This window comes from Homo sapiens, chromosome 8 (assembly GCF_000001405.40).
Source record: "Homo sapiens chromosome 8, GRCh38.p14 Primary Assembly".
Taxonomy (NCBI): domain Eukaryota; kingdom Metazoa; phylum Chordata; class Mammalia; order Primates; family Hominidae; genus Homo; species Homo sapiens.
The window spans coordinates 8353577-8379242 of NC_000008.11; the positions used below are offsets into that span (position 1 = coordinate 8353577).

Genomic DNA, 25666 nt, shown 5'->3' on the forward strand with positions numbered 1-25666 from the left:
AGCAATAAATGCCTTCATTAAAAAAGAAAGATCCCAAATAAATAGTATAACATTATATACCTCAAAGAAGTAGAAAAAGGACAAAACCACGTGTGGCGCTTATGCCCATAATCCCAGTACTTTGGGAGGCCAAGGCTGAAAGACTGTTTGAGCCTAGGAGTTTGAGTCTGCGGTAAGCTATGATTGATCCACTGCACTCTAGCCTGAGTGACAGAGTGAGGCCCTGTTTCAAAAGAGAAGAAGATGAAGAAAAAGAAGAAGAAGAAGATAAAGAAGTAGTAGTAGTAGTAGTGGTAGTAGTAGAAGAGGAAGAGGAAGACCACCCATTGCACAAGGGAGGAAATAATAAAGATTAGAACAAAAATAAATAAAATAAAGAACAGAAAAGCCACATAAGGAAAAAAAAAGTCAATAGAACTGAGAATTGGTTCTTTGAAAAAAACAAGCAAAATCAACAAACCCCTAGATAGACTAAGAAAATAAGGAAAGAAGACTCAAATAAAATCAGAAATGAAAGTGGGGACATTGTAACAGATGTCTCAGAAATAAAAATGATCATAAGGGACTATTATGAACAATTATATGCCAACAAATTGGATGACAGAGAGAAAATGGATAAATTCCTAGATTCAATATTGAATCAGGAAGAAATAAAAAGCTTGAACAGACCAGTAACAAATAAAGAGATTGAAGAAGTAATTAAAAACGTTCCAACGAAGAAAACCCCAGGACCAGATGGCTTCACAGCTGAATTCTGCCAAACATTCAAAGAACAATTATTACCAATACTTCTTAAATTCTTCCAAAAAAAAAAAATAATAATAAAGCTAGAGGGAATACTTCCAAAAACTTTTTATGAGGCCAGCATCACCTTGATACTGAAGCTTGACAAAGATACCACAAGAAAAGAAAAAGTACAGGCCAATATTGCTGATGAATATTAATTCAATTCTCAATAAAGTATTGCAGACTGAATTCAACAATACATTCAAAAGATTACGTAATGTGACCAGTGGGATTTATCCTTGGCATGCAAGGCTGGTTTGGCATATACAAATAAATCATTGTAATATGTCACATTAACAGAATGAAAGATAGAAACCACATCTAAATTGACATAGAAAAAGCATTTGACAAGGTACAGCATCCTTTCTTGATAAAAACTCTTAACAGCTTGGGTATAAAAGAAAAGTTCCTCAACATAATAAAGGCCATTTATGAAAAACTCACAGCTAATATCATAATCAATGGGGAACAACTAAATGTTTTTCCATTAAGATCCAGTAGTAGGCAAATAAATCCACTTCTGCCACTTCATATTCATCATTGTACTGGAGGTACTAGCAAGGGCAATCAGACAAGAAAAAGAAATAAAAGGCATCCAAACAAAAAAAGGAAGAAGTAAAATTATCCGTATTTACAGATGACATAATCTTGTATGTGGAAAATCCCAAGAATTCCACCAAAAAAAGAACTAAAATGAATTCGGTAAAGTTGCAGGATAGAAGATCTACACACAAAAACCAGTAGCATTTCCACATACAAAAAAACAATCCAGGTGAAAAAACAAAAATCAAGAAAACAATCCAACTTACAATGGCATAAAAAATTAGGAATAAATTTAAACAATGAGGTGAAAGATATGTATACTGAAAACTATAAAACATTAAATGCAAGAAATTGAAGAGGACATAATTAAATGCAAATATATACCATGTTCATGGATCAGAAGAATTAATATTGTTGAAATGTCCACACCACCAAAAGTGATATACAGATTTAATGCAATCTCTATCAAAATTCCAAAGGCATTGTTCACAGAAATAGAAAAAACAATCCTAAAATTCATATGGAATGACAAAAAAAACCCTTCAAATAGTCAAAGCAATATTGAGAAAGAAAAAAGGAAAGATGAATTTGGAGCCTTCATACGTCCCGATTTTAAATTATATTACAAAGCTATAGTAATCAGAAAAGAATATGGTAGTGGCATAAAACCAGAAGCATAGAGCAATAAAACAGAATACAGAGCTCAGAAATTGATCCAGACATACATGGTCAACTAGTTTTTGACAAGAGCATCAAAAGGGCACCATAGAAAAGATAGTCTCTTTAATAAATGGTGCTGGGAAAACTGTATCTCCACATGAAACAGAATGAAACTGAACCCTTATCTTATATCATACACAAACATAAACTCAAAATGGATAGAAGGCCTAAATGTAGGACCTGAAGTCATAAAACTATGAGAAAAGAACATAGGAAAATCTATTTGATATTGGCCTTGGAAATGATTTTTTGGATATCGCACCAAAAGCTCAGACTACAAAAGCAAAAATAAATAAATGGAACTACATCAAACAGAAAACCTTCTGCACAGCAAAGGAAACAATCAACAAAATGAAAAGGCAACTTAGGAACTGGGAAAAAATGTTTGCAAACCACGTGTCTGATAAGACGTTAATGTCCAAAACTTATGAAGAATTCTTACAACTCAATAGCAGAGCAATAAGTAACCATACTAAAATATGGGCAAAGGATCTGAACAGACATTTATCTGAAGACATAAAACTCACCAACAGATAAATGAAAAGGTGTTCAACATCACTAATCAGGGAAATGCAAATTTAAACCACTGTGAGATATCACCTAGCACTCATTAAGATGGCTGTTATCAATATGAAAGACAACAAATGTGGGTGAGGGTGTGAAGAAAAGAGAACACTAGTGCATTTTTGGTGGAAATGTAAATCATTATGAAAACTATAGAGGTTTTTGTTTTGTTTTGAGACAGGGTCTCACTCTGTCACCTAGGCTGGAGTGCAGTGGTGCAATCATGGCTCACCACAGCCTTGACCTCTTGGGTTCAAGTGATCCTCCTGCCTCAGCCTCCCAAGTAGCTGTTACTACAGGCATGTGCCACTGTGCCCAGCTAATTTTTTTGTATTTTTTGTAGAGATGAGGTTTCATTATGTTTCCCAGACTGGGCTCGAACTCCTGGGTTCAATAAATTTGCCCATCTCAGCCTTCCAAAGTGCTGGGATTTCAGGCTTGAACCACCACGACTGGCCTAGAGGTTCTCAGTGGCATTTTTTGCAGAAATAAAAGATACATCCTAAAATTCATATAAAACCTCAACATATCCTAATAGCCAAAACAATCTAGAAAAAGAACAAAGTTGGAGGTCTCACACTTCCTGATTTCAAAACTGATACAAAACTACAGTAATTTAAAAAGTGGAGTACTAGCATATAGACATATAGACTAATGTAATAGACTAGAACGTCCAGAAACAAACCCTCATGTATACGGTCAAATGATTTTCAACAGGAGTGCCAAGACCATTCAACGTGGAAATGACAGTCTTTTCAACGAATGGTGCTGGTAAAAGTGAATATCCACATGCAAAAAAATGAAAGTGGACCCTTGCCTAATATTGTATACAAAAATTATCTAAAAATGGGTAAGAGACCTAAACTTAAGACCTAAAACTATAAAATTCCTCGTGGAAAACAAAAAGAAAAAAACTTAATGACATTGGATTTGGCAATGATTTCTTGGATATGACAACAAAAGCAAAGACAACAAAAGCAAAAATAGATAAACTGGACTACATGGGAATAAAAACATGTTGTGCATCAAAGGACATAATCAATAGAGTGAAAAGGCAACACATGGATTGGGAGAATATATTTCAAATCCTACATCTGATAAGCGGTTAATATCCAAAATAAACAAACAACACTTAAAACTCAACAACAAGAAACCAAACAATCCAATTAAAAACTGGTCAAAGAACTTAAATTTGTCAAAAAACAAAACAAAACAAAAACCCACAAGGGCCAGTAAGCACATAAAAAGATACTCAACATCTTTAATCATTTGGAAAACACAAATCAAAAGCACAATGAGACAACAACTCATCCCATTAGGATGGGTACTATAAAAAACAAAAACAAAACAAGTTTTGAAGACACATGTGGAGAAATTGGAACCCTTGTGCACTGTCAGTGGGAATACAAAATGGTGCAGCTGCTATGGAAAACAGTAAGGCAGTTCCTCAAAAAATTAGAAATAGAATCACCAAATGAGCCAACAATTCCACTTTGTGGTATATATTTCAAAGAACTGAAAACAGGGTCTCTAACAGATATTTGCTTACCTGTGTTCATAGCAGTATTATTCACAGTAGCCAAAATGTAGAAGCAACTTAAGTATCCATTAACAGACGAATGAATAAACACAATATGGTTCTGTGAATGTATGGGAAAAACAAATTCAGTTCCTCCTATACTGTCACAATACAAAATACTTCTGTGACCTCAGATCTTGTTAGTTGTCCACCCCAACACCATGCAAGCAATCAATTCTGCAGCAAACACCAGCTGGTTGCTACCAAATTCAATTCAATTCTGACACTATCTACCTAGAGGTAGAGTCAGATCCCACAGGTTGAGGGTTCAGTTTCAGAAGACTTCCCCCTACTTCCAATGCCAATCCAAAGCCCAGGTTGTTTTATCTGTGCTTCTGATCAATCAATTATAAATTGGGGCTCCCATAATCTCCTCCTTGGGTTCAATTAATTTGTTAGAGCTGCACATAGAACTCAGGGAAATGCTTACAAGTTTATTATAAAGTATATCACAAAGGATACAGAAGAAGAGAAGCATGGGCAAGGCGTGTGGGAAGGGGCATGATGCTTCCATGCCCTCTCTGACAAACCACCCTCAAGGAAACCCCAGAGGTTCTGCTATTCAGAAACTCTCTGAACTCTGTCCTCTTAGGTTTTTATGGAGGCCTCATTACATAGTCATGATTAATTAAAGCATCAGCCATTAGTGATCAACTTAACCTTCAGCCTCTCTCCCCAACCCTGTGGGTTGGAGTGGGACTGAAAGTCTCAACCCTCTAATCTTGTCTTGGTTTTTCAGGTGACCAACTCCCCTACTGAAGTGACCAAGGGGCTGCCAGCCCTCAGTCAATTCATAAGCATACAAAAAGACACATCATTTCTGTTGGAAAGGAATGCTTATTCCTTGGTGCTACAAAGAAGAATCAGCATTCAGACAAAAAGTTTTCTCAGCAAGACAATTTTACTTTCTGCAGAAAGGGTGCTGCCCATCAGCAATCCTGCCACGAGAGCACACTGAACAAAGAGACACAGGAATATTTATCCCTTATGGGTGAAGTCCCTATTGCTTTGTCCTACCTCCACTGGCTGGAGCTGGACCTCACAGTCTAAGCTTAGCCCAATTGGCTAACAATCTAAAACTTTCCTAAATAGGTAAAGACAGTGCTAAACAAAGGAAAAGAGGAAGTTGCTTACATAAAGGCTTATAGAAGCAATAACATTTCCAAATAAGGAAGGGATATAAGCTGTGACCTGGGACATGCCTGAGCAAGCCAAAACTCATATTGTAGTTAAAGTATATGTATATATAAAATGCTTATCCTTTTACACTTAATGACTATGTAAGGTTTAATGAAGAGTTATTGTTAAAAGCTAGTCTTTAAGATAAACTATTAGTTCTAACACTTATGATTTATTCCTTAATAAAAAAGGTAAGCTTGAAGAGGAACTTTTTACTTTTCACAATTCCCTCCTCTTATTTTTTTATAGTTTTTCCTCTTCAAACTGTTTTAATATTTCTTGGCTTAATTGCTCTGATTGAATTTCTAAAAGGAGAATTTTTTCTGAATAAGGTGGAGGAGAGTTAAGATGGGTTTTAGTAAGAGTTGTTTTTGTTAATCTTATTACTAATTCCCAGATGCATGGTATAATACAACACCCAAGAAGAAGGAGTATGCCTATTACAGTTGCTATAGAAGTAAGAATTGAGGCTACAGTTTCTTTCTATTGACCGGACCATCCTTCTAGCCAATTAGAAATAGCATTAGGTACAACAGGATGAGTCGTCTAGACTATCTGATTGATAGCTCTAAGGTCTTGCACTAATCAGTATGACCCGTCTGATTACTTGACTGGTAAAATTGGAGTATTGGATGAGGACATACAAGGTTTGAGCAGCCCATCTTTAATAAGTCCTTCAATTACAGGCTTTAACCCTATTCTTCCTTATAAAGGAATACGGTATTGCTTTCTCCTTACTACCTCCCCTGGAGTTTTTAACCAAATATGTATTGGAGGAATTCGTAGCTTTCCTCAGTTTCCTTGACCAGACATCTGGATGTATGTATTTTTCATCTATCGCAGTTAACAAATTTAAAGAGGTTAGAAAACCTTTTGGACCAACTTGCAAACCTATACCTAATTTATCATTAAATCCCTTACTAACAAATTGGTTCCTGCTTCAGGAATTAATAAAAATTGTATACAAGTCGATTGATCTTGATATTTAACTTCCATATTTTCTAAAATTTTTGCCTTAAATCCTTCTCCTTTGACCCTGGAAACTGTCAATTCCTCTGAGGAACGAGCTAAATCAGCTGGAGGAAAACCAACAGATGAGTGAGCAGCTCCTGAGTCAATCAAAAAGGTGATTAATTCATGTTTGGGTCCCACCTCTAAATTTATCAAGGGCTCTTGGTGGGACTCGAAATAGAAAAGACAGAGCCCCTGACCCCTCTATTCTTCTTCAGAAGTAGTCACAAATGGGAGAGCTTCCTCTGCTTTTTCCAATTCAGGACATTCGTTCTTAAAATGACCTGGCCTCCCACATCTGTAACATCTGTCTTGCCCTCCCTGTCTTCCAAGCCCAGGGCCCCTTTTCTTCTTCTCTTTATTTTCATATCCACAGCCCCTATGGCACTTACTTTTACCTTCTCCTCTAAAATACTGACCTTGCCTTCATTCTCTCTGCATTCCTGAATTACCAAAATTTCTCCTCTTGCCTCCTCTAGAAAATCCTACAGGTGTGGGTCTAGACTTAGCCCCCTACATCATCTGTCCTGGTGAATTCTGCCAAAAGATTTTCACTTTCTGCCTTTGTCTTTCCTCATCTCTCCTCAAATATACCTTCTGAGCTTCTCCTAACAACTCCTCTATTGACTTATTCTTCCAGTTCTCTAATTTTTGTAACTTCTTAGCAATGTCTGGCCAACTCTTAGTAACAAAGTGCAGTTTTAACATTCCTTGCCCAAGGGGGCTTTCTTGGTCTAAATCTGCATATTTTCTCATCTGTTCTCTTAGTCCAAGAATCTCATAGGTCCTTCATCCTTTTCTTGTTGTATGTTAAATGCCTTGGAAAGATTTTGGGTTCAGGGTGCTGATTGCTGAATCCCCTTGATTATTATTTCCCTTAAATCTTTCATATTATCTCAGTGGGTGGCATTATTTTTATCCTACTGCGGTTCCTGAGCAGGGAATTTGTAATCTGCTGCCAGAATATTTTGACCTGGAGGATGTTCACATTCCCAAATTGCCATAGCGGCTCTGTGGATCATATTTCTTTCTTCCCCTGAAAAGAGGATATCCAGGATGGAAATTAATTCAGCCCAAGTATATAACTGAGGGCCTAAAAAGTGATCAATTTGATCTGACATCTCATAAGGATCATCTAACAGTAGCTTGAGTTCCTTTTTCAGACTTCGGACCTCAGACCCAGTTAGGGGAGCATTTACAAAGTCAATGTCCCCCTCACTGAGGAACTTCCCTTAAAGGAAAGAACGTTGAAGTTGACCTCTTAGTAGGGGAGGAAAGGGAAGATTCTGAATATCCTTTTTACATTGCTCTATCTCCTGCTGAAGTCCTTTCTTTAAGGAAGGATATTTAGAATGCCCAGATTCCTGGAATTCCCAAGAATCTGGGTTATATGGTGGGAGGAAATAACATGGAAGGGCCTGGAGCAGCAGTCAGGTCTGGGATCGGGTCCGGAAGGGGGTACAGGGCAGCAGCAGCTGCCTGGGGAGGTGGCAGTGGGTTATTAAGAAATGGGGGAAGGTGGTCTAGAGGGTCCCATTTCTTATCAGATGAGGCAATCTCTGACTCTTCCTTGTTCTCCTGTCCCCCTTCACCTGTTTTCAGAGGGTAAAGAAGAACAGGCCCTTGCCACCAGCATAGAGCATAATCAATCTATTTCTTCTTGTGATGCAGGAAAATTGGAGTATTGGATGGGGACATACAAGGTTCGAGCAGCCCATCTTTAATAAGTCCTTCAATTACAGGCTTGTCATTAACATACATTTTTAAAAGTTGACAGACTCAATCTTCATCTGACCCAAATTTTGGCCAAACAACTGCTGGCTGGAGGATTGGCTCTTTAGTTCAAATGAAGCAACAATACTTAATCATCTACTGCTTCTTTTTGAATTTAGTTGTTTCATTATCTTACCAATCTTTAACATAAACCCTAAAGGATTATTAGGGGGAATCTGATCACTTGCATCTTTCTTCGCTCCCAATTTACTAGAAACATTTCCCATACTGAATGCTGGGTAGACTCAACTTCTTAATTCTAGAGACTTCTTGTCTATCCTGTTTTTCCCTAGCTTGCTTAAATTCCTAACCTCACGCACTTGAGGTTTCATTTTCCCTGGGGAGGATCTTAACTCCTCTTCCCCCACCCCTGGAGCTTTCTTACACTCTTCACTCACTTCGTCCTACCTGGCTGCTTCCCTAATGGAAATTTAGGCTCCTCTTAGCATTGGCATGCTGATATAAACCCACGTCAGGATCTGCCCTAAGCTGTATGAGGTGGCCATGGAACCACAGGTAGCACCCACCCACTCCGTCCAGCAGGACTTGTCACCATCCACACAAGCAACACCGCATGGCTTGAGACCATTCACACACACTTTCAACTTCCAGAGTATCTGGACCACCAAGGAAGTACTTTGTCACACCCCTGTGACGTTTCTTACTTGGTCTGTGCACAGAGTTTACCTGGTTGCCACAGCAGTGCAAGCCTGTCCATCCTTTCCCGTGTTGCTGAGAGTCTGGGTTTATTCATTACAACAGGTGAGTTCTGATTCCCAACCCCTGAGGCCACTGCAACAAGGCAGTGGGGCACCTCCCCTAGGAGAAAGATCAGAGACCCTGCCCCAGAGGAGAATGGGTGATCCTGGATGAGCCCCCAAACTGTTGGAAATAAATGCTTATTCCTCGGTGCCACAAAGAAGAATCAGTAGTCAGATAAAAACTTTTCTCAGTACTTTCTGCAGAAAGGGTACTGCCCATCAGCAATCCTGCCACAAGAGCACACTGAACGAAGAGACACAGGAATATTTATCCCTTACATGTAAAGTCCCTATTGCTCTGTCCTATCTCTACTGGCTGGAGCTGGACCTCACAGTCTAAGCTTAGCCTGATTGGCTAACAATCCAAAACTTTCCTAAATAGGTAAAGACTGTGCAGAACAAAGGAAAAGAGGAAGTCGCTTATGTAAAGGCTTATAGAAGCAATAACATTTCCAAATAAGGAAGAGACATAAGCTGTGAGCTGGGACATGCCTGGGCATGCTGAGACATGCCTGAGCAAGCCAAAACTAATATTGTAGTTAAAGTATAAAGATATATATATATAGATATAGATATATAGATATATATATGTGTGCGTGTGTATATATATATATACTTATATATAATATACTTATCCTTTTACACTTAATGACTATATAAGGTTTAACAAAGAGTTATTGCAAAAAGCTAGTCTTTAAGAGAAACTATTACTTCTAACACTTATGACTTATTCCTTAATAAAAAGGAAACTTTGAAGAGGAACTTTTTAATTTTCACAACTTTGAAGATACCAAAAATTTTAGGAGTTGTTTGCCAGGACACTGGAAAAAGACCAAATATGTATTTCACAATAGTACAACGGTATATACATGCAATGGACTATCACTCAACTTTTAAAAGGAAGGAAATTCTGACACATGCTACAAGATGGATGAAACTTGAGAACATTATGCTAAGTGAAACAAGCAAATGACAAAAAGACAAGTACTGGATGATTCCATTTATATGAGGTACCTAGAGTAGTCAAATTCAGAGACAGAAAGTAATGGTGGTTCCCAGAGGCTAAGGGAAGGGAGAAACAGGAAGTTGTTTAAAGGTGGAGAGTTTCAGTTTTGTAAAATGAAAAGACTTCCCTGGAGACTGATTTAATATACAACAAATGGAAACTACTATTAAACTTTATACTTTAAAATGGTTACGATGGTGAATTTTATGTTATATGTAACATATATACATATTTTATGTGTATGTCTATTTTTTAAAAACTACATAAAAGGTTAAGAATGCAGCTTTCCTTAAAAACAGACATAGTGTTATTTTATGAAACTGTTTATATTTAATTTATATTAAGTATATTGTGCTATAGATTTCATTCTCTTAGTTATTTCAGTCAATACCAGTATGAGGTTCACCCATGTTTCTGGACATATTTCTAGTTCATTGCTTCTGACTGCTATTAAATAGTTTATTTCATAATCATAACATTTTACTTACCTATTTCTCTAGAGATGAATACCTGGACTTGCTCTAACTCCCTGCTACTATAATGTTATGACAAACTTCCTTGTTTATGTCCCCTTACTGACCTGTGTGAATATATACTCAGGAATGAAGGTTGTGGGGACAAGATGTAGTCTCATACTTAATTTAACAGCTGTTTAATAGCCATTTTCCTGTATTTTTGCTGAAATTTGGAATTATCCCACTTTGTAATTGTCATCAATCTGATGGACATAATGTGCTATTTTACTGTTTTATGCTTCTCTGATTATTAATGAAGTTAAGTAGCTCTTCAAATTCTTGCCCTGCATTTAGCTTTTCCCTCCTGTTAACTGCCTATCCATGTTTTTGCCTGTTTTTCTACTGGTTTCCACATATTGTTCTGCTTGAATTACAAGAGCACCTTACATGTTAATGCCTTGTCAGTCTTTGATACACTGCTTTAATTTCTCACCCATCTATTAACTGCTGATGGCATCCTCAGTTCAACAGAAATCCTTAATTTGATGAAGTCAAAGCCATCATTTTATGGCTTATTCTTCTAGGGTCTTAAAAATGCTGTGAATGTTTTTAAATTTGCTTTTTGGTCTTATTTTTCTCATTTGGATCATTATTCCATCTGCAGTCCACTTTTACATACACTATATGACACTATATGGCAGGATTTCAATGTTGTTTTTTTTTTTGTTTTCTCCATACAGTCAACAAGTGTGCCAAAATCATCTCGTAAGCAATCTGTACTTTTCCTACCAATGTATGGTCACGGCTCCACCTAAAAGAAGTCTTCAATATTTAGCGATCAAATGAATGTCAAGATGGAATCTCAGACCCTGAACTGTAAGGATCTTCTCTATTCTACATGCAAAGTACTCCTTATCTTTCTCAGGTTTCTGCTTTTTGTAGGAAACACAGACAAGCATTGAGAGTGTTTGGGATCAAGGGTCTGGAAATTGTCTGTACAGACAATTTCCTTGTTTCACGTCTTGAAGATGACATGAATATAGAGAAGATATTTTGAAAGATTTGAAGAAAGGATACCAAGGAAATATGACAGGTCAGCAAATATCTCTGTCCTGGTTTTCTTCTATTTTCTCCTAGGGAGACATGACCTGTTTTCAATCAAGCATCTCTATAAAAATGATGGTCTGTCTTTTCACCAGTGGAGAAGATTCAGAAAAACTATAAGTAGTATGTGTTAGGAAAACAATAGTTTTGTTTTCATCTTCCCAATTTAAATTATGTTACATCACTGAATTTTCATTGTTAAACTATCCCTCCCAAAGATTCTGACACAGCTCCTGCATCTGCCACCTCACTCCCCAATCCTGGGCACTGAAAATCAATACAACGGCTGGACATGGTGGCTCACACCTGTAATCCCAACACTGTGGGAGGCCAAAGCAGGTGGATCACCTGAGGTCAGGAGTTCGAGACCACCTGACCGACATGGAGAAACCCCGTCTCTACTAAAAATACAAAAAATTAGCCCGGCATGGTGGCAGGTGCCTGTAATTCCAGCTACTCGGGAGGCTGAGGCAGGAGAATCACTTAAGCCCAGGAGTTGGAGGTTGTGGTGAGCTGACATCGCGCCATTGCACTCCAGCCTGGGCAACAACAGTGAAACTCCAACTCAAAAATAAATAAATAAATAAATATATGCAACAAGCCAAAGAGAATAAGGCTAAGTGGGCTGAGTGCAGTGACTCACACCTGTAATCCCAGCACTTTGGGAGGCCAAGGAGGGTGGATCACCTGAGGTCAGGAGTTTGGGACCAGCCTGGCCAATGTGGTGAAACCCTATATATATATATATACACACACATATATATATACAAAAATTAGCTGGACATGGTGGTATGCCCCTGTAATCCCAGCTACTTGGGAGGCTGAGGCAGGAGAATCTCTTGAACCCAAGAGGTGGAGATTGCAGTGAGCTGAGATCGTGCTTGCACTACAGCCTGGGTGACAGAGTGAGACCCTGTCTCAAAACAAACAAACAAACAAACAAACAAAATAAGGCTAAGTGAAAACACATTGCTTAATAAGATTTAAGGATAGAAACAGTAAATTGAAGGTCTATAAAGGAAAATAATCCTTTAAATAATGGGTAATAAACTTAATAGTAACTGTTATTTACTAAAATGCAGAGTTCCACAAATGGTTAAAATTCATGGGACGTTCATAATCACTCACTAAGAAGAAACAAGACATTTTGGCATTTCGGTCTAAAATTAGAGTCTCTATTCAAAGAGAATGGCCGTCATCTGCCAAACAGAAGTGGCTAGACAGAGTCCCCCTACCACCCAAAGGCATGGGAATTCTTTTTTTTTTTTTTTTTGAGACGGAGTTTCACTCTTGTCATCCAGGCTAGAGTGCAATGGCATGATCTTGGCTCACTGCAACCTCCAACTCCCGGGTTCAAGCAATTCTTCTGCCTCAGCCTCCTGAGTAGCTAAGATTACATGCGTCTGCCACAATGTCTGGCTAATTTTTTTACTTTTAGTAGAGACAGGGTTTGACCATGTTGGCCAGGCTGGTCTTGAACTCCTGACCTCAGATGATCCTCCTGCCTCTGCCTTCTAAAGTGCTGGGATTACAGATGTAAGCCACTGAGCCCAGCTGGGAACTCTTAAACTCTTGAATTACTAACAAAAATGGGTATTAACCACTTGAGATTTTGCACTTTATTTTTATCTTTTTTTTTGAGACAAGATCTGACCTTGTCACCCAGGATGGAGTGCAGTGGTGTTACCATGGCTGACTGCAGCCTTGACCTCCTGGCTCAAGCAATCCTCCCACATCAGCCTCCCAAGTAGCTGTAACTACAGGTATGTGCCACCATGCCCTACTCATTTTTGTAATTTTTTTTGAGGTAGTGTCTCGCTATGTTGCCCAGGCTGGTCTTGAACTCCTGGGTGCAAGTGATTCTCCTGCTTCCCAAAATGGCTAGGATTACAGGTATGAGCCACCGTGCCCAGCTACATCATGCATTTTAGAAGACAAATTTTAGATTTTATGGCTGAATCAGCAAATAGCCAGCACATGACATGTATCTGCACCCCCACCTCCCTACAACCTGCAGACACCACAAATAGATGATGGCCAGCATTCCTGATGCATGGGCTCCAAATGATCAGAATTGGCATGGAGGATGCAACCCAAGTGTTCTCATGGTTCAACAATATGCAGTCATAAAATCTTACCATCCTTTTGATCTGTACATAATATAAGAATTACGGGTGGATCACATGAGGTCAGGAGTTCAAGACCAGTCTGGCCAACATGGTGAACCCCATCTCTACTAATAATACAAAAATCAGCCAGGCATGGTGGCAGGCGCCTGTAATCCCAGCTACTCGGGAGGATGAGGCAGGGGAATCGCTTGAACCCGGGAGGCAGAGGTTGCAGTGAGCTGAGGTCGTGCCACTGCACTCCAGCCTAGGTGAAAGGAGCAAGACTCCATCTCAAAAAAAAAAAAAAAAAAAAAAAAAAAAAAAAAAAAAAAAGAATCGCGTTAAGTGATGCCACCACGCTGACTGCTTTTAAAATTGGACTCTCCCTCCTTTTCTTCGTGACCTTCAAGGTCATAAGGTCATATTACTTACTACTATGTCAATTTATCTCAACTGTTCTTGTATGTATCTGGTGGTTTTGTTTTTTGTTTTTTGAGATGGAGTCTCGCTCTGTCACCCAGGCTGGAGTGCAGTGGCGTGATCTCAGCTCACTGCAAGCTCCGCCTCCTGAGTTCAAGCAATTCTCCTGCCTCAGCCTCCCGAATACCTGGGATTACAGGTGCGTGCCACCATGCCCAGCTAATTTTTTGTATTTTTAGTAGAGACGGGGTTTCACCACGTTAGCCAGGATGGTCTCAATCTCCTGACCTCGTGATCCACCTGCCTCAGCCTCCCAAAATGCTGGGATTACAGGCGTGAGCCATCACGCCTGGCCGTATATAGTGTTTTTTAATTTCATTAATTTTGACTGCCATATGGAGCTCACAAAGAGCAGAAGCTATTCTGAAGAGCTTTCTACACCTCAGGAACATAAAGTAATATCACCACCAGCTATTTGTTTAGGTTTTAGACTTTAGAAAAGTTATCATAGCACAAGTATAAATTGGTATGAAATGGCTAAAAACCAAACTACTGGGAAGTTGGGGGGAACATTCAACAGTGATAGGTATACTGGAGAGAAAATATCTGAGAACAAAAATGAACGACTTTTTAAAGTAGCCTTCGGCCTGGAAGCTCCTCTCATGATCCAACAAAGAACAGCTGTTTATATAAGTCTGCCTGTCAGAGAAGCACAGAGAAGCCGTCCAGTGCATCAGACTGAAGCTAATTAAAGCAGGGAATTTTACAGAGTTGTATGGGAATAGTATAAACACTCCTAACGCCCAACATTTTTAGGGCTCTGCCCAAAAGTCAATAGAAAGAAATAATGAGCAATGCAAGCACAGAGGATGCAGACTCTGATCTTTAAACTCTGAAATTTATTACTGCAGAAAGAGACACAGGATATTCTTTGTAGTTGGTCTATCAACCCTGATAGAAGGAAACGTAAGATCTTTAATGAGGGCATTAACAATCCCAAAACAACAACAAAAAATTCCTTGGGCCACTAACAGAAAATTTCCTACCAATTGGTGAGTTTCACAACCAATTATGCAGATCAAATGTAGGCTGGCCATTCTAGGAACAAAGTCCCTCTGACGACGTCAGGGACAGAGGGGGACTGACCACACTGCCTAAGCTTGTATTTTCCAATGCACCTGACAAAGCATGGAAAAGCTATTCTCAGACAAGCAAAACCACACCTTAGAATTCCTTGTAACTCTCTGGTGGAAAAAAAAAAGTGTTTAGATGATTACTACCTGAGAAAATATTATTTTGGCAAGAGAGTGCTGGCTCTACACACCTGCTCAGGTTGAAAAAAAAAAAAAAAAGCAGGGTAATAGAGACCGGTAGCAGGAATGAAATGTACAATCATTGGAGAGTAATTAATCCATGAAAGGATGCATTGTGCCCACATGGTGTTTGCCCACCTTGAATCATTAATAATGATTAACCTTAGCTTCTTAGCCTCTTTAACTCAAGGTGGTAATGTTCTGTTGAGCGAGAATAGTTGCAGAATCATGATGGGTCCCCAGTGAAATATCAGGCCAGGAACTATTACATTTGTAGTTCACTCTGGCTTGCTTTTTTTTTTTTTTAAGAAAATTCAGTAATTCTCCATTGAACATCTACTACATATCCAACTCTGTGCTAAGGTATGCTGTGGAAAAGTCAAGGAAGAATGTATGAGACACATCCCTGCACTCCCAGGAGTTTATAATTTCGGAGGAGATGCAAACGTGGACCCATTTTAATGTAACAAAAGATACACTGTGTTAACAGCCAAAATGGAGGCCTGTACAGAGTACTGGGGCAACCTGGAAATCTGGTTTTAGGATACACTGCATTCAAAGCAATTTGCTTTTTTCTTCAACATTTCTTGAGCACCTGTTATGTGCAAAGCAAGGAGTCAGGTGCCTTTCTGGAAAACGAAATAAACACGGCACTGTCTCTGTTTACAACTGCCCATTTAACAAACATTTCTTGAACATCTACTACATGTGATGCATTGAGCTCAACCTTAGGAATTGCAGATGGTTAAGCATGCACTTTACCTTCAAAGTGCATCTGGTCTATTTTGTAAAAAATAAACTTTTTTTTTTTTTTTTTTACAAGCTTGTACTAATCCTGATCTTGGATCAAGTTGAAACAGACACAGTTAAGGGAGAGGACTATAAGGTACTCCTGGACACAGAGCTGAGCTTACCTTTGTGTTCCCTAAACAGAACAGAGGATGTGGTGAGAATCCAGGTCCTATAAGAACCTGTCTCAACAAAGGGAATCAAAGCAGGGGTCAAGCTTTGACAGTCATATTGCACGCCTGCTGATTTAATTCTTAGCAACTCAATTCTCAGGATCCTTAAGGAACAGAACCCCAGTAACTGGCTTTTTAGCGCCTTGCACAGAGCCCACTCAAAAGTAGACAATTAATAGATATCTGATAAATTAAAGAAAGAATCTCTAATTGCTAGCCTTAGTCAAGAATGTATGCTCAAAATTAGACAGAAAGTCTTAAATGTTGAATACATACTGCTGTCAAATCAGTAATTTTTAAAGAAGTTGTAGAACAAGACTCTAGGAATCAATTTCAATGGTCCCTGCTTACAGCATTATGAGATGTCCTGTGTTTCAAGGTTCCATCCCCACACTTATGGAAACAGGCCAACTATGAATTTGCCCCTGGCATGGCACAGAATATAAACATGCATTGTTGGTACATATGCTTTGTTCTGTTTGCCAAACTCTGTGTATCTGTGGGGGCCACTGAAATACGGCCAGTATTCATTCTCCCCTGACCAACTTGACCTCCAGCCTACTTATTTAAGTTTTGTCAAAATGGCTAAACACAGTCCATGAAGATTCTCTAAATACAGTGCTTCCTAATACAAACTGTGATTTTCAAAATGCCGCCCAGAAAAGGCCGTTATGCATCAAGAGTATGGGATTTCCTAGTAAAATGTTGCCACCCAACTGTCTGTCATCCATTATAGCAGAAAGGGCCTCTAGAAGAACACATTGGAAGCTCTAATCAGATTCGATGTGGACACTGGAGACAAACACCCATCTCACTCATCCTATGCCCATCCTCCCGGTTCATGCCCAGAGATCATGTTACAGGAGAGCCCACACAGTGAAGTCATGTCAGTTCCTCTGGTTACTGATGTGGCCACTTCTGTGGACAGAAACGAACTCCACTCATGACACTGTCACTACCTGTCTACTGAGAAGCAGCTCAGGAGGAGAATTAAGAGTGAGCAAAAGACCGGGGGCTGTAGCTCACACCTGTAATCCCAACACTTTGGCAGGTGGATTACTTGAAGTAAGGAGTTCGAGATCAGCCTGAGCAACACGGTGAAACCCCATCTCTACTAAAATATAAAAATTAGCCATGCGTGGTGGCGCACCTGTAATCCCAGTTACTTGGGAGGCTGAGGCAGGAAAATCGCTTGAACCCGGGAGGCGGAGGTTGCAGTAAGGCAAGGTACCACCACTGTACTCCAGCCTGAGCGACAGAGATTCTGTCTCAAAAAAAAAAAAAAAAAAAAGAGTGAGCAAAAGCCCAAGAATAGATTTAACCTCTGCTCCCCAGCAGCCCCACAGAAAAAGGGGTGAATTTAGCAAGTTGTGGGTTAAAATTGAAATTCAATTGAGCGAAAACTTTCTTTTTTTTTTGAGGTGGAGTCTCGCTCTGTCGCCCAGGCTGGAGCTCAGTGGTGCGATCTCGGCTCCCTGCAAGCTCCGCCTCCCGGGTTCACGTCATTCTCCTGCCTCAGCCTCCCGAGTAGCTGGGACTACTGGCGCCCGCCATCACGCCTGGCTAATTTTTTGTATTTTTAGTAGAGAGGGGTTTCACCGTGTTAGCCAGGATGGTCTCGATCTCCTGACCTCGTGATCCACCCGCCTTGGCCTACCAAAGTGCTAGGATTACAGGTGTGAGCCACCGCGCCCGACCATGAGTGATAACTTTCAAACAAAGACATCAGCTGGGCGTGGTGGCTCATGCCTGCAATCCCAACACTTTGGGAGGCTGAGGCAGGTGGATCATTTGAGCCCAGGAGTTCGAGACCAGCCTGGGAAACATGGTGAAACTCCGTCTCTACAAAAATATAAAAATTAGCGGGGGCATGGTGGCACGTGCCTGTAGTCCCAGCTACTCAGGAGGCTGGGGTGAGAGGATCACCTGAGTCTGACAAGTGGAGGCTGCAGTGAGATGGCACCACTGCACTCCAGCCTGGGCGGCAGAGTGAGATTCTGTCTCAAAACGAAACACACAAAAAACAAAGACGTCACCCACTTTCTTGGGGAAATTTTTCTTTTGATTAGTCTCACCTAGGGCCAGACCATTTAGACACTGAAACCACATGAATCGGTCTTATTTCTTAGTCACCTGTCATCCTCAATTCCACCTGGGCTCAGGCCTCTTCTCCTAACTTGAGGTTTCTTGGTGAAACGCTTATCTGCACTAACCAGATGATTCTCTTTCAGCTGACCTAGTCACCCAAAAGTCATTAAGTCATTTAAAACCGGGTTTGCATCTGTGAAAAAGCAAAAGGCAGAAAGCAATTTGGTTCTTTCTCATCTTAATTGTTTCCCCAGCTCTGCTGTTCTCGTTAATGTTGGCCAGGCTGGTCTTGAACTCCTTACCCCAAGTGATCCACCCGCCTTGGCCTCCCTAAGTGCTGGGATTATAGGTGTCAGCCACCATGCCTGGCCAAATTGCCATTAAGTCTTAAGCATGACATTTAAACTATGAGTTCACCCTTCTTTCCTGAAGTATTTTTGTTTCCTAACCAGCAGTATTTGTTGATCCTCATCTTATAATTCTGCCTTATATTGGGACAGGGGTGACCCAGAGACTCTGTGAGATCCATCATTCTTAGTAAGTGTGACTTTGTGGGTATAAAAGCTTGCCTTGACGGCAACAGGGAAGGAAGTATCCAGGCCTTGCCGTACCCGCCTGGGTTGGAGGGTTGGGCAGGCACTTAACCTCCTCCAAAGAAGAACTGTTCTGGGCATAAAATGAGCATGGAGAGCCTTTCTCCTGCAGGGCACTCCAGCAAGAGGTTTCTCAGGAACACGAATGGGAGTTTACAGAGGACAATATCTCAAAAAGACAGATAAGCTACTGCCAAACATTCAAAACAGGACCACAGGAAAGCCAAGTCATTCTTAACATCTATTTTTTTCCCTCCAGGTCAGAATCAGTTTTGTAAAATAGGGCGATAAACAGAACAACAGGCAAAAGAGAAAATCATTCCCCGTTCTTCCATAATGACCTAAGGAAGCAGACGATCTGTCTCTCTCACACCATGTAAGTGGAAAGAAACAGTGTCCTGTATGAAGCAAGTCCTTTTTCTAGAGGTGTGAGCGTAGGTAACGCACATAATGAAGCTGATCATTAGAAATAGGATCTATTTCACAAATGGGCCCATGTGAAGAAATCAGGTTGACCTTGTATGTTGCTTGAAGACCTTTCACGTTCTTCCATTTTGGAAAACTGACATCAGCCTGCCATAATTACCAGTGTGTACTGGAATTGGTGCCGGATCAACTGCTGGCTGCATTCTCACTAACACTCTGATTTGCCAACACCCTGACCTACTAGGTTGGAAGACTCTGGGGTTCCTGGCACTATCCCCAGCGGAGGTACTGAGTTCCAGAATTAAAAGTCAGCATATGTTCCCAGGCCTGCCCTCTTATCTTCTCACAGGGAGATCCGAAAGATAATGTCAGTAATGCTTGAGAAATGAAAATGCTTCCCCAAATGAAAATATATTCTAGTTTATTTTGAATAAAATAAGATGCTCTTGTTTTTCTGTGTTCTCTTAAGCTAATTTTATTTTCTAGATTTTTTTTTTTTTGAGACAGGGTCTTGCTCTGTTGCTCAGGCAGGAGTACAGTGGCACAATCATAGCTCACTGCAACCTCCACTTTCTGGGCTCAAGCCATCCTCCCACCTCAGCCCCCAGAGAAGCTGGGATGACAGGCATGTGCCACCATCCCTGGCTGATTTTCATATCTTTTTTGGTGGAGACTGGGTTTCACCATGTTGCCCAGGTTGGTCTCAAAGTCCTGGGCTCAAGCAGTCTGCCTGCCTTGGCCTCCCAAAGTGCTATGATTACAGGCATGAGCCACTAAGTCCGGCCCTTCTTTTTAATTCTTTTTTCTCCTCTAACTTGTTTATTTTTTAAGAGCTGAAACCTTGAACCTCCAAGATTCCCATCAAGCTTGAGCTATATGCAATCTAAGGGTTTTATCATAACAAACTGGGCCGAAAAAACTCTGATCTCAACCCAGATGCTAATTAAAACCCTACCTGAGTCATGTTGCTATGGTTACTGGGATTTCTCCAAGCCCCGAGATTCTTAAAGGAGTAAATTTTAGTTACTTCTCCAAGGCTCAGAGTGGCGTTCCTGGGATTGAGCCATGCTAGTTCCCATAGGGTGTGGGTGTCATTGCACAATCAGCAGCCTGGGTGGCTTCTGCCTACATCATCACTAACCTCTGCATTGGATTCCATTGTTTGTCTCATTAGAGGTTTACAATAGCAGGGTGTTATCAAAGTACTATTATCATCTCATTTTAGAGAAGAGACTCCAGACTCTCAGTTTAGAGACCAACTCTTTTAGAGAAGGGACTGGAGACTCAGTCACAGTGAGTGGCTTATACAAGGTCACTCCATTTGTGAGAGAGAGGGAATAGGAACTTGGTTTTCTAATGCCAATACCTGTGCTTTCCACTAATTTACCCAGGACTGAGGCAGGCAGATACAATTTGGATGTTTTACTCTCACGCCCTGCTCAATTTCCATGCTCCTTGATGTCCTGTAGGTTCAGGAGGAGCGTAGACTTAGGAGTCTTGCAGGTACAGCAGGAACCTTAGGCTGGTTACCCTAGCTTTCTATCTCTGCTTTGTCATCTGTAAATTGGGGCTGGCAATTCCTACCTCTTAGGGCTGTTCTGAGGATGAAATGAGTTGTTATGTCTAATTCTTTTAAATCCATCCCTGGCCCATAGTGAGTGCCATATAAATGGAAGCTCATCTTAGCTGCTGAATCTCTCATTCATTCGGGGACTACACGCGGCTGCCAAAGAGTCTGCAATCACCTCAGGATCTGGAAGATGTCTGTTCTCCATGGTGGGCGGCCAGTGCAATACCAGAACAAAGTAGTGGTCATGAGAAAAAAACCCACGTTAGATCACATCAGTGCCTGAGACGCCGTGATGTTCAAAGTCAAGCGTCCTGACTGCTTCTCTCTGTGGTCAATTTCCTTGTTTCTGACATCAGCCCAGAGGCACATCAGCTGAAACAGAACCACTTGAAATGACATGACTCGAGAAAGTCTGTTCAGAAACGCTGTAATTTTTTGAAAAACAGTAGGTTTCTCCTTTTCCTAACAGAAATCAGTTTCGCTCTAATCGAGAGAAATTTTTTTTCCCCAGCATTTAAAACCCATGCACAGCTCAATAACTAAAAAAAAAAAAAATTTATTTTTCTCGAGTCTTTAAAAGGTACTTTAAACTGATAGGAGATAGCAGGGAAGCAGTAGGGAAAACTGAGTTTCAGCATGCTAACACAAAACTACATTTTTTTCTTTGTTTTTTTTTTTGTTTTTTTGAGACAGTCTCACTCTGTCGCCCAGGCTGGAGTGCAGTGGCACCATCTCGGCTCACTGCAAGCTCCACCTCCCGGGTTCACGCCATTCTCCTGCCTCAGCCTCCCCAGTAGCTGGGACTACAGGCGCCCGCCACCACGCCTGGCTAATTTTTGTATTTTTAGTAGAGACGGGGTTTCACTGTGTTAGCCAGGATGGTCTCGATCTCCTGATCGTGATCCGCCCGCCTCGGCCTCCCAAAGTGCTGAGATTACAGGCGTGAGCCACCACGCCCAGCCCCATTTTTTTCTTTAAAAACCCACATCTGAGGGTTCCTAACCACATGTAAAACTTCCTCTTTTCTGCTTTTGGCCCCAAGACCTAATCACCATTGTGGTAACAGTTTATTGAGCACGCATTTATTTGGCATTAACTGTTTGCCTCCCCAAATCTTTAAAAAAATTTTTTTTAACTTTAACTTTAAAAATGTTATTATTTAAAGAAAATAGAGACAGGATCTCCTTATGTTACCTAGGCTGGTCTCAAACACCTGGGCTCAAGTAATCCTCCTGCTTCGGCCTCCCAAAGTGTTAGGATTACAGGCATGAGCCATCATACCCAGCCCTCCCTAAATCTTGTAGCATAACCTCCTTTTGCCCTCTTTTGCATGTTTAAATTAACGGAAAATATTCAGGACTTCCTGGAAAAAAGCCTACTGAAGACACTTCAGAGAACTGGGGAATAAAAAGAGGACCAGATTATAAAAATACAGGCACCAACAAATGGCAACAGCTTGGTGAAAGATTGATTTTAAATCACCAATCCCAAGCAGGGACCACAAGTAGGTTTGTTTGCTGGGTACAAAGAGGGCCACAACTCCTGCTCTCCGAGGGCTGCACTGGGACCCTGGGAAATTTACATAAAGGCACAAGGGCCTTTGGGCAGATTCTGGGACCTGGGCCTGAAAGCTTTGATGAGGGCAAAGGTTTCTTCTGGAAGAGCCCTTTGCCCTGCAGACAGAGTCCCAGGCAGACAATGGTACTCACCGCGACTTTGGAGGCGGAGGAGGAGGTGAGAATGTCTCAATCCCACTTCTGTCCTTGGGGAACTCAAAGGCAAAAGAGGCGGATTTGCTCATCCCGGTCCCAACTTTGCTGTTCTGCCCAGAGGAGCCATCTGTGGGGTGGAGACGGTGCCAGGTCGTGGAGTTTGAATGGTCCGTGGGGCCATTTTTGGTCTCTCTTCCCCAGCTGTGACTCAGCAATTCCTGCTCCACCTCCTCTTCTTCCTCTATCCGGCACTGACGACTCCAGGTGCCTGCCTGGAACCTGGGCCGCCTCTGTTCCGAGGCTGACGAGGCGGCAGGCTGGGGACACCTGGATGGGTCACTGATAGCGACACCGTTGGTCCGGCAGGAAGGAGCGGGGTCAGCAGGACCTTGGGATGGAGGCTGGGGCCCAATGCTGCTGCCGCCAGAGCTCCCATCACTAAGGTCAGCCAGCGGTGACACTGGGGGCCCTCCAGCAGACGGTGACACCGGGGACCCTACAGGGCTACTCTTGGACAACTTGGGGGGAATGGCGGGCCTCTCCTTGGGCTTGCTCTCGCTGGCACTGTGAGCATGGCTTTCCCTGGAGCTCAGCCCCTGCCCAGCCGAAGTCTCCTCTTCACCTACCTCGGAGTTCTGGCTCACAGGCCCTCGTGGCCACTGCACCCCCACTGCAGAGTCAGGGCTGCTCAGGTAGATCGTCCGATGGTCCTCTTCCGGGTGGGCCGCCATGACTGTGATGGTGGCTGACACCTGGGGAGTTGGGTCTGGGCTGTCCCGGCCCCAGCCAGATGCTGCTTTCTGGGCCCAGGCATTACCTGTGCATACCTGGCCTTGGCCCTGGGCAGCAGCTGCATGTTCTATCTTGGCCTGTGACTTGGAAGGCACCGGAGCTGCCTTCTTCCTCTTGGTGCTCTCAGCATAGATGGGTTCAGGCTGTGTAGCCTCCCGGGGGTGGGCCGGGGGCTGGGGCTCCCCCGTCAGCCCAAGGCATCTGCTAGGGGTCACCCCTGGGCAGCCAGGGTCCTGCTGCTTCTCTGGGGCAGGTTCCTTCATGAGGGAGCAGTAATCACTCTCGAGGTGGGGGACGAAGGGGCTACTGGCGCCGCTGCCGCTGCCGCTGCCGCTGCCACAAGAGAGGCCGTCGGAAGAAATGGCAGCCTCCGAGGTGAGGGACAGTTTCTTGGGGCCCAGGCAGGATGGGTGGGCAGTGGGGCCCTGGCTACAGCACTCCTTGGGGAAGCTCGGGCCCCGCTTCTCCTGCTCTGCGGGCCCGGAACACTTCCCCTGCTCCCAGCACGTGGGTGAGCAGTCCCTGCCACCATGCCTGCCCCGGGAACCTGCAGTCTGGGAGGCAGCCTTGGCAACAGGGCTCCCAGGGCAGCAGTCCAGGATGGAGCAGTACTCTCCACCCTCGCTGTCCCCGGAGGGCGAGCACCTTTGATCACTGTCATCCTCCGAGGGCAGGGATTCCCGCAGGGGCCCAGGGCCCTGGTGACAGCCAGATGTGGTCCCAGCAAAGGCAGCCAGTTTCTGGCGGAAGCTCTCCTGGGTGGAGGGCCGGTCTTGGTAAGGAAATGAGGGTTTTTCTTTGTGCACAGCCTTCTCCTCCGGGAAGCTCACCGGGTGGAAGGCAATGTTCCTCTCGCCGCGGGGCTCAAGGTTGTGCAGGCCGACCATGGTGTAAGCTGGGGGACAGCGAGAATTGCCATCAGGGGAGGTAGAGGGACCAGCAGGCTTCTGTACACCTCGGAAGCTGCCCAGGTAGACGACGGGGGCATCCTCCTGCTTCGGGAGGGGGAGCTTGCCAGGGGCTCGTCTCCAGATGACCTACACACAAGCCCAACGCAAAAAGACTTATATTAGAACTTGTCATAGAAAAAAGAGAGAGAGGAAAAGTGAGAGGGAAGGGCAACGATACTGTAGAATGTCTTCTGTAGTGCAGTGCAGGGGCGCTGGGGCCGGGGACTCAGTGCACGCCCACCTTCTCATCTCCCCACGGCCCTGTGATCATTGCTGGGGCACCCGCTGAGCCATTTGTCTTCCCAGACACTGAGCTGCCCTTCCTACCCATGGACTGTAATGCTTTTGGCTTAAGTCTGTGAAGTAGGAAAAGAAAAATATAACTCTGAAAAAGAACACTGTGCCTTCTTCCTCCCTTGCAACCAGCTGCTGGGTGACACAAGTTGTTCCACTGGATTGGAAAATGGAGCTTGGGGTTTTGTTTAATTTTTGCTTTGAGTTTGTGGGTTTTTTGATAACCCAATCACAGTGCATGCCTGAAGAAATCGAAGTCTTAAGTGTTTTTAAAACACACTGAACACACTGGAGCCAGATGCCGTGGCTCATACCTGTAATCCCAGCACTATGGTGGGCCGAGGAGGGCAGATTGCTTGAGCCCAGGAGTTCAAGACGAGCCTGGGCAACATGGCCAAATCCCATCTCTACAAAAAAATACAAAAACTTGGTGGGCGTGGTGGTGTGTACCTACAGTCCCAGCTACTTGGGAGGTTGAGGTGGAAGGATGTCTTGAGCCCAGGAGGCGGAGGTTGCAGTGACCCAAATCACACCACCACACTCCAGCCTGGGCGACAATGCCAGACCCTGTACCAAAAATAATGATAATTAATAATAATAATAATAAAGAAAAAAGAAACACATTGGGTGGGTGGGTGTGGGCAGAACAGGAGGGTGAGGGGTGGTTTCTGAACCGGATCAGGGTGAGGGGTGGTTTCTGAACCAGATCAGAGTGAGGGGTAGTTTCTGAACTGGATCAGGGTGAGGGGTGGCTTCTGAACCGGATCAGAGTGAGGGGTGGTTTCTGAACTGGATCAGGGTGAGGGGTGGCTTCTGAACTGGATCAGAGTGAGGGGTGTTTTCTGAGCTGGATCAGGGTGAGGGGTGGCTTCTGAACTGGACCTGGGCTTCCTCGCTTCTTTCTGTGCTTTGCTTCCAACTATGCCAGAGGTCATCTTTCTCCCGCCTACAGCAGTG

The 25666-nt window shown here is 42.6% G+C and overlaps 1 protein-coding gene across 3 annotated transcripts in view, besides 4 other annotated features; it reads right to left on the reverse strand.

Moving 5' to 3' along the window:
• The window catches only part of PRAG1 (PEAK1 related, kinase-activating pseudokinase 1), a 68704-nt gene that overhangs the window by 35841 nt on the left and 7197 nt on the right, over positions 1-25666 (reverse strand). For 2 of the 3 annotated variants that reach the window (NM_001080826.3, NM_001369759.1), the window contains exon 3: positions 22671-24502. In NM_001080826.3, coding sequence (NP_001074295.2) covers positions 22671-24502 — 1832 coding nt within the window. Of the gene's footprint in view, positions 1-4162; positions 4254-22670; positions 24503-25666 lie in introns of all 3 variants that reach the window. The other variant, NR_163138.1, reaches the window with a different exon arrangement.
• Positions 8541-9740: an enhancer, noted in NCBI's record as "MED14-independent group 3 enhancer chr8:8219633-8220832 (GRCh37/hg19 assembly coordinates)". NCBI's record gives its function as "activates an origin of replication core promoter dependent on BRD2, BRD4, P300/CBP and CDK7 cofactors, and independent of MED14, by STARR-seq in HCT116 cells {active_cell/tissue: HCT116}" and the evidence as "EXISTENCE:reporter gene assay evidence [ECO:0000049][PMID:35650434]".
• Positions 8885-9385: an enhancer, noted in NCBI's record as "H3K27ac hESC enhancer chr8:8219977-8220477 (GRCh37/hg19 assembly coordinates)". NCBI's record gives its function as "activates a minimal SCP1, AML or CMV promoter by ChIP-STARR-seq in primed H9 embryonic stem cells {active_cell/tissue: H9 hESC(primed)}" and the evidence as "EXISTENCE:reporter gene assay evidence [ECO:0000049][PMID:30033119]".
• Positions 17683-17782: a silencer, noted in NCBI's record as "silent region_18894". NCBI's record gives its function as "represses an Ori minimal core promoter by ATAC-STARR-seq in GM12878 lymphoblastoid cells {active_cell/tissue: GM12878}" and the evidence as "EXISTENCE:reporter gene assay evidence [ECO:0000049][PMID:35858748]".
• Positions 22509-23448: an enhancer, noted in NCBI's record as "H3K4me1 hESC enhancer chr8:8233601-8234540 (GRCh37/hg19 assembly coordinates)". NCBI's record gives its function as "activates a minimal SCP1, AML or CMV promoter by ChIP-STARR-seq in naive H9 embryonic stem cells {active_cell/tissue: H9 hESC(naive)}" and the evidence as "EXISTENCE:reporter gene assay evidence [ECO:0000049][PMID:30033119]".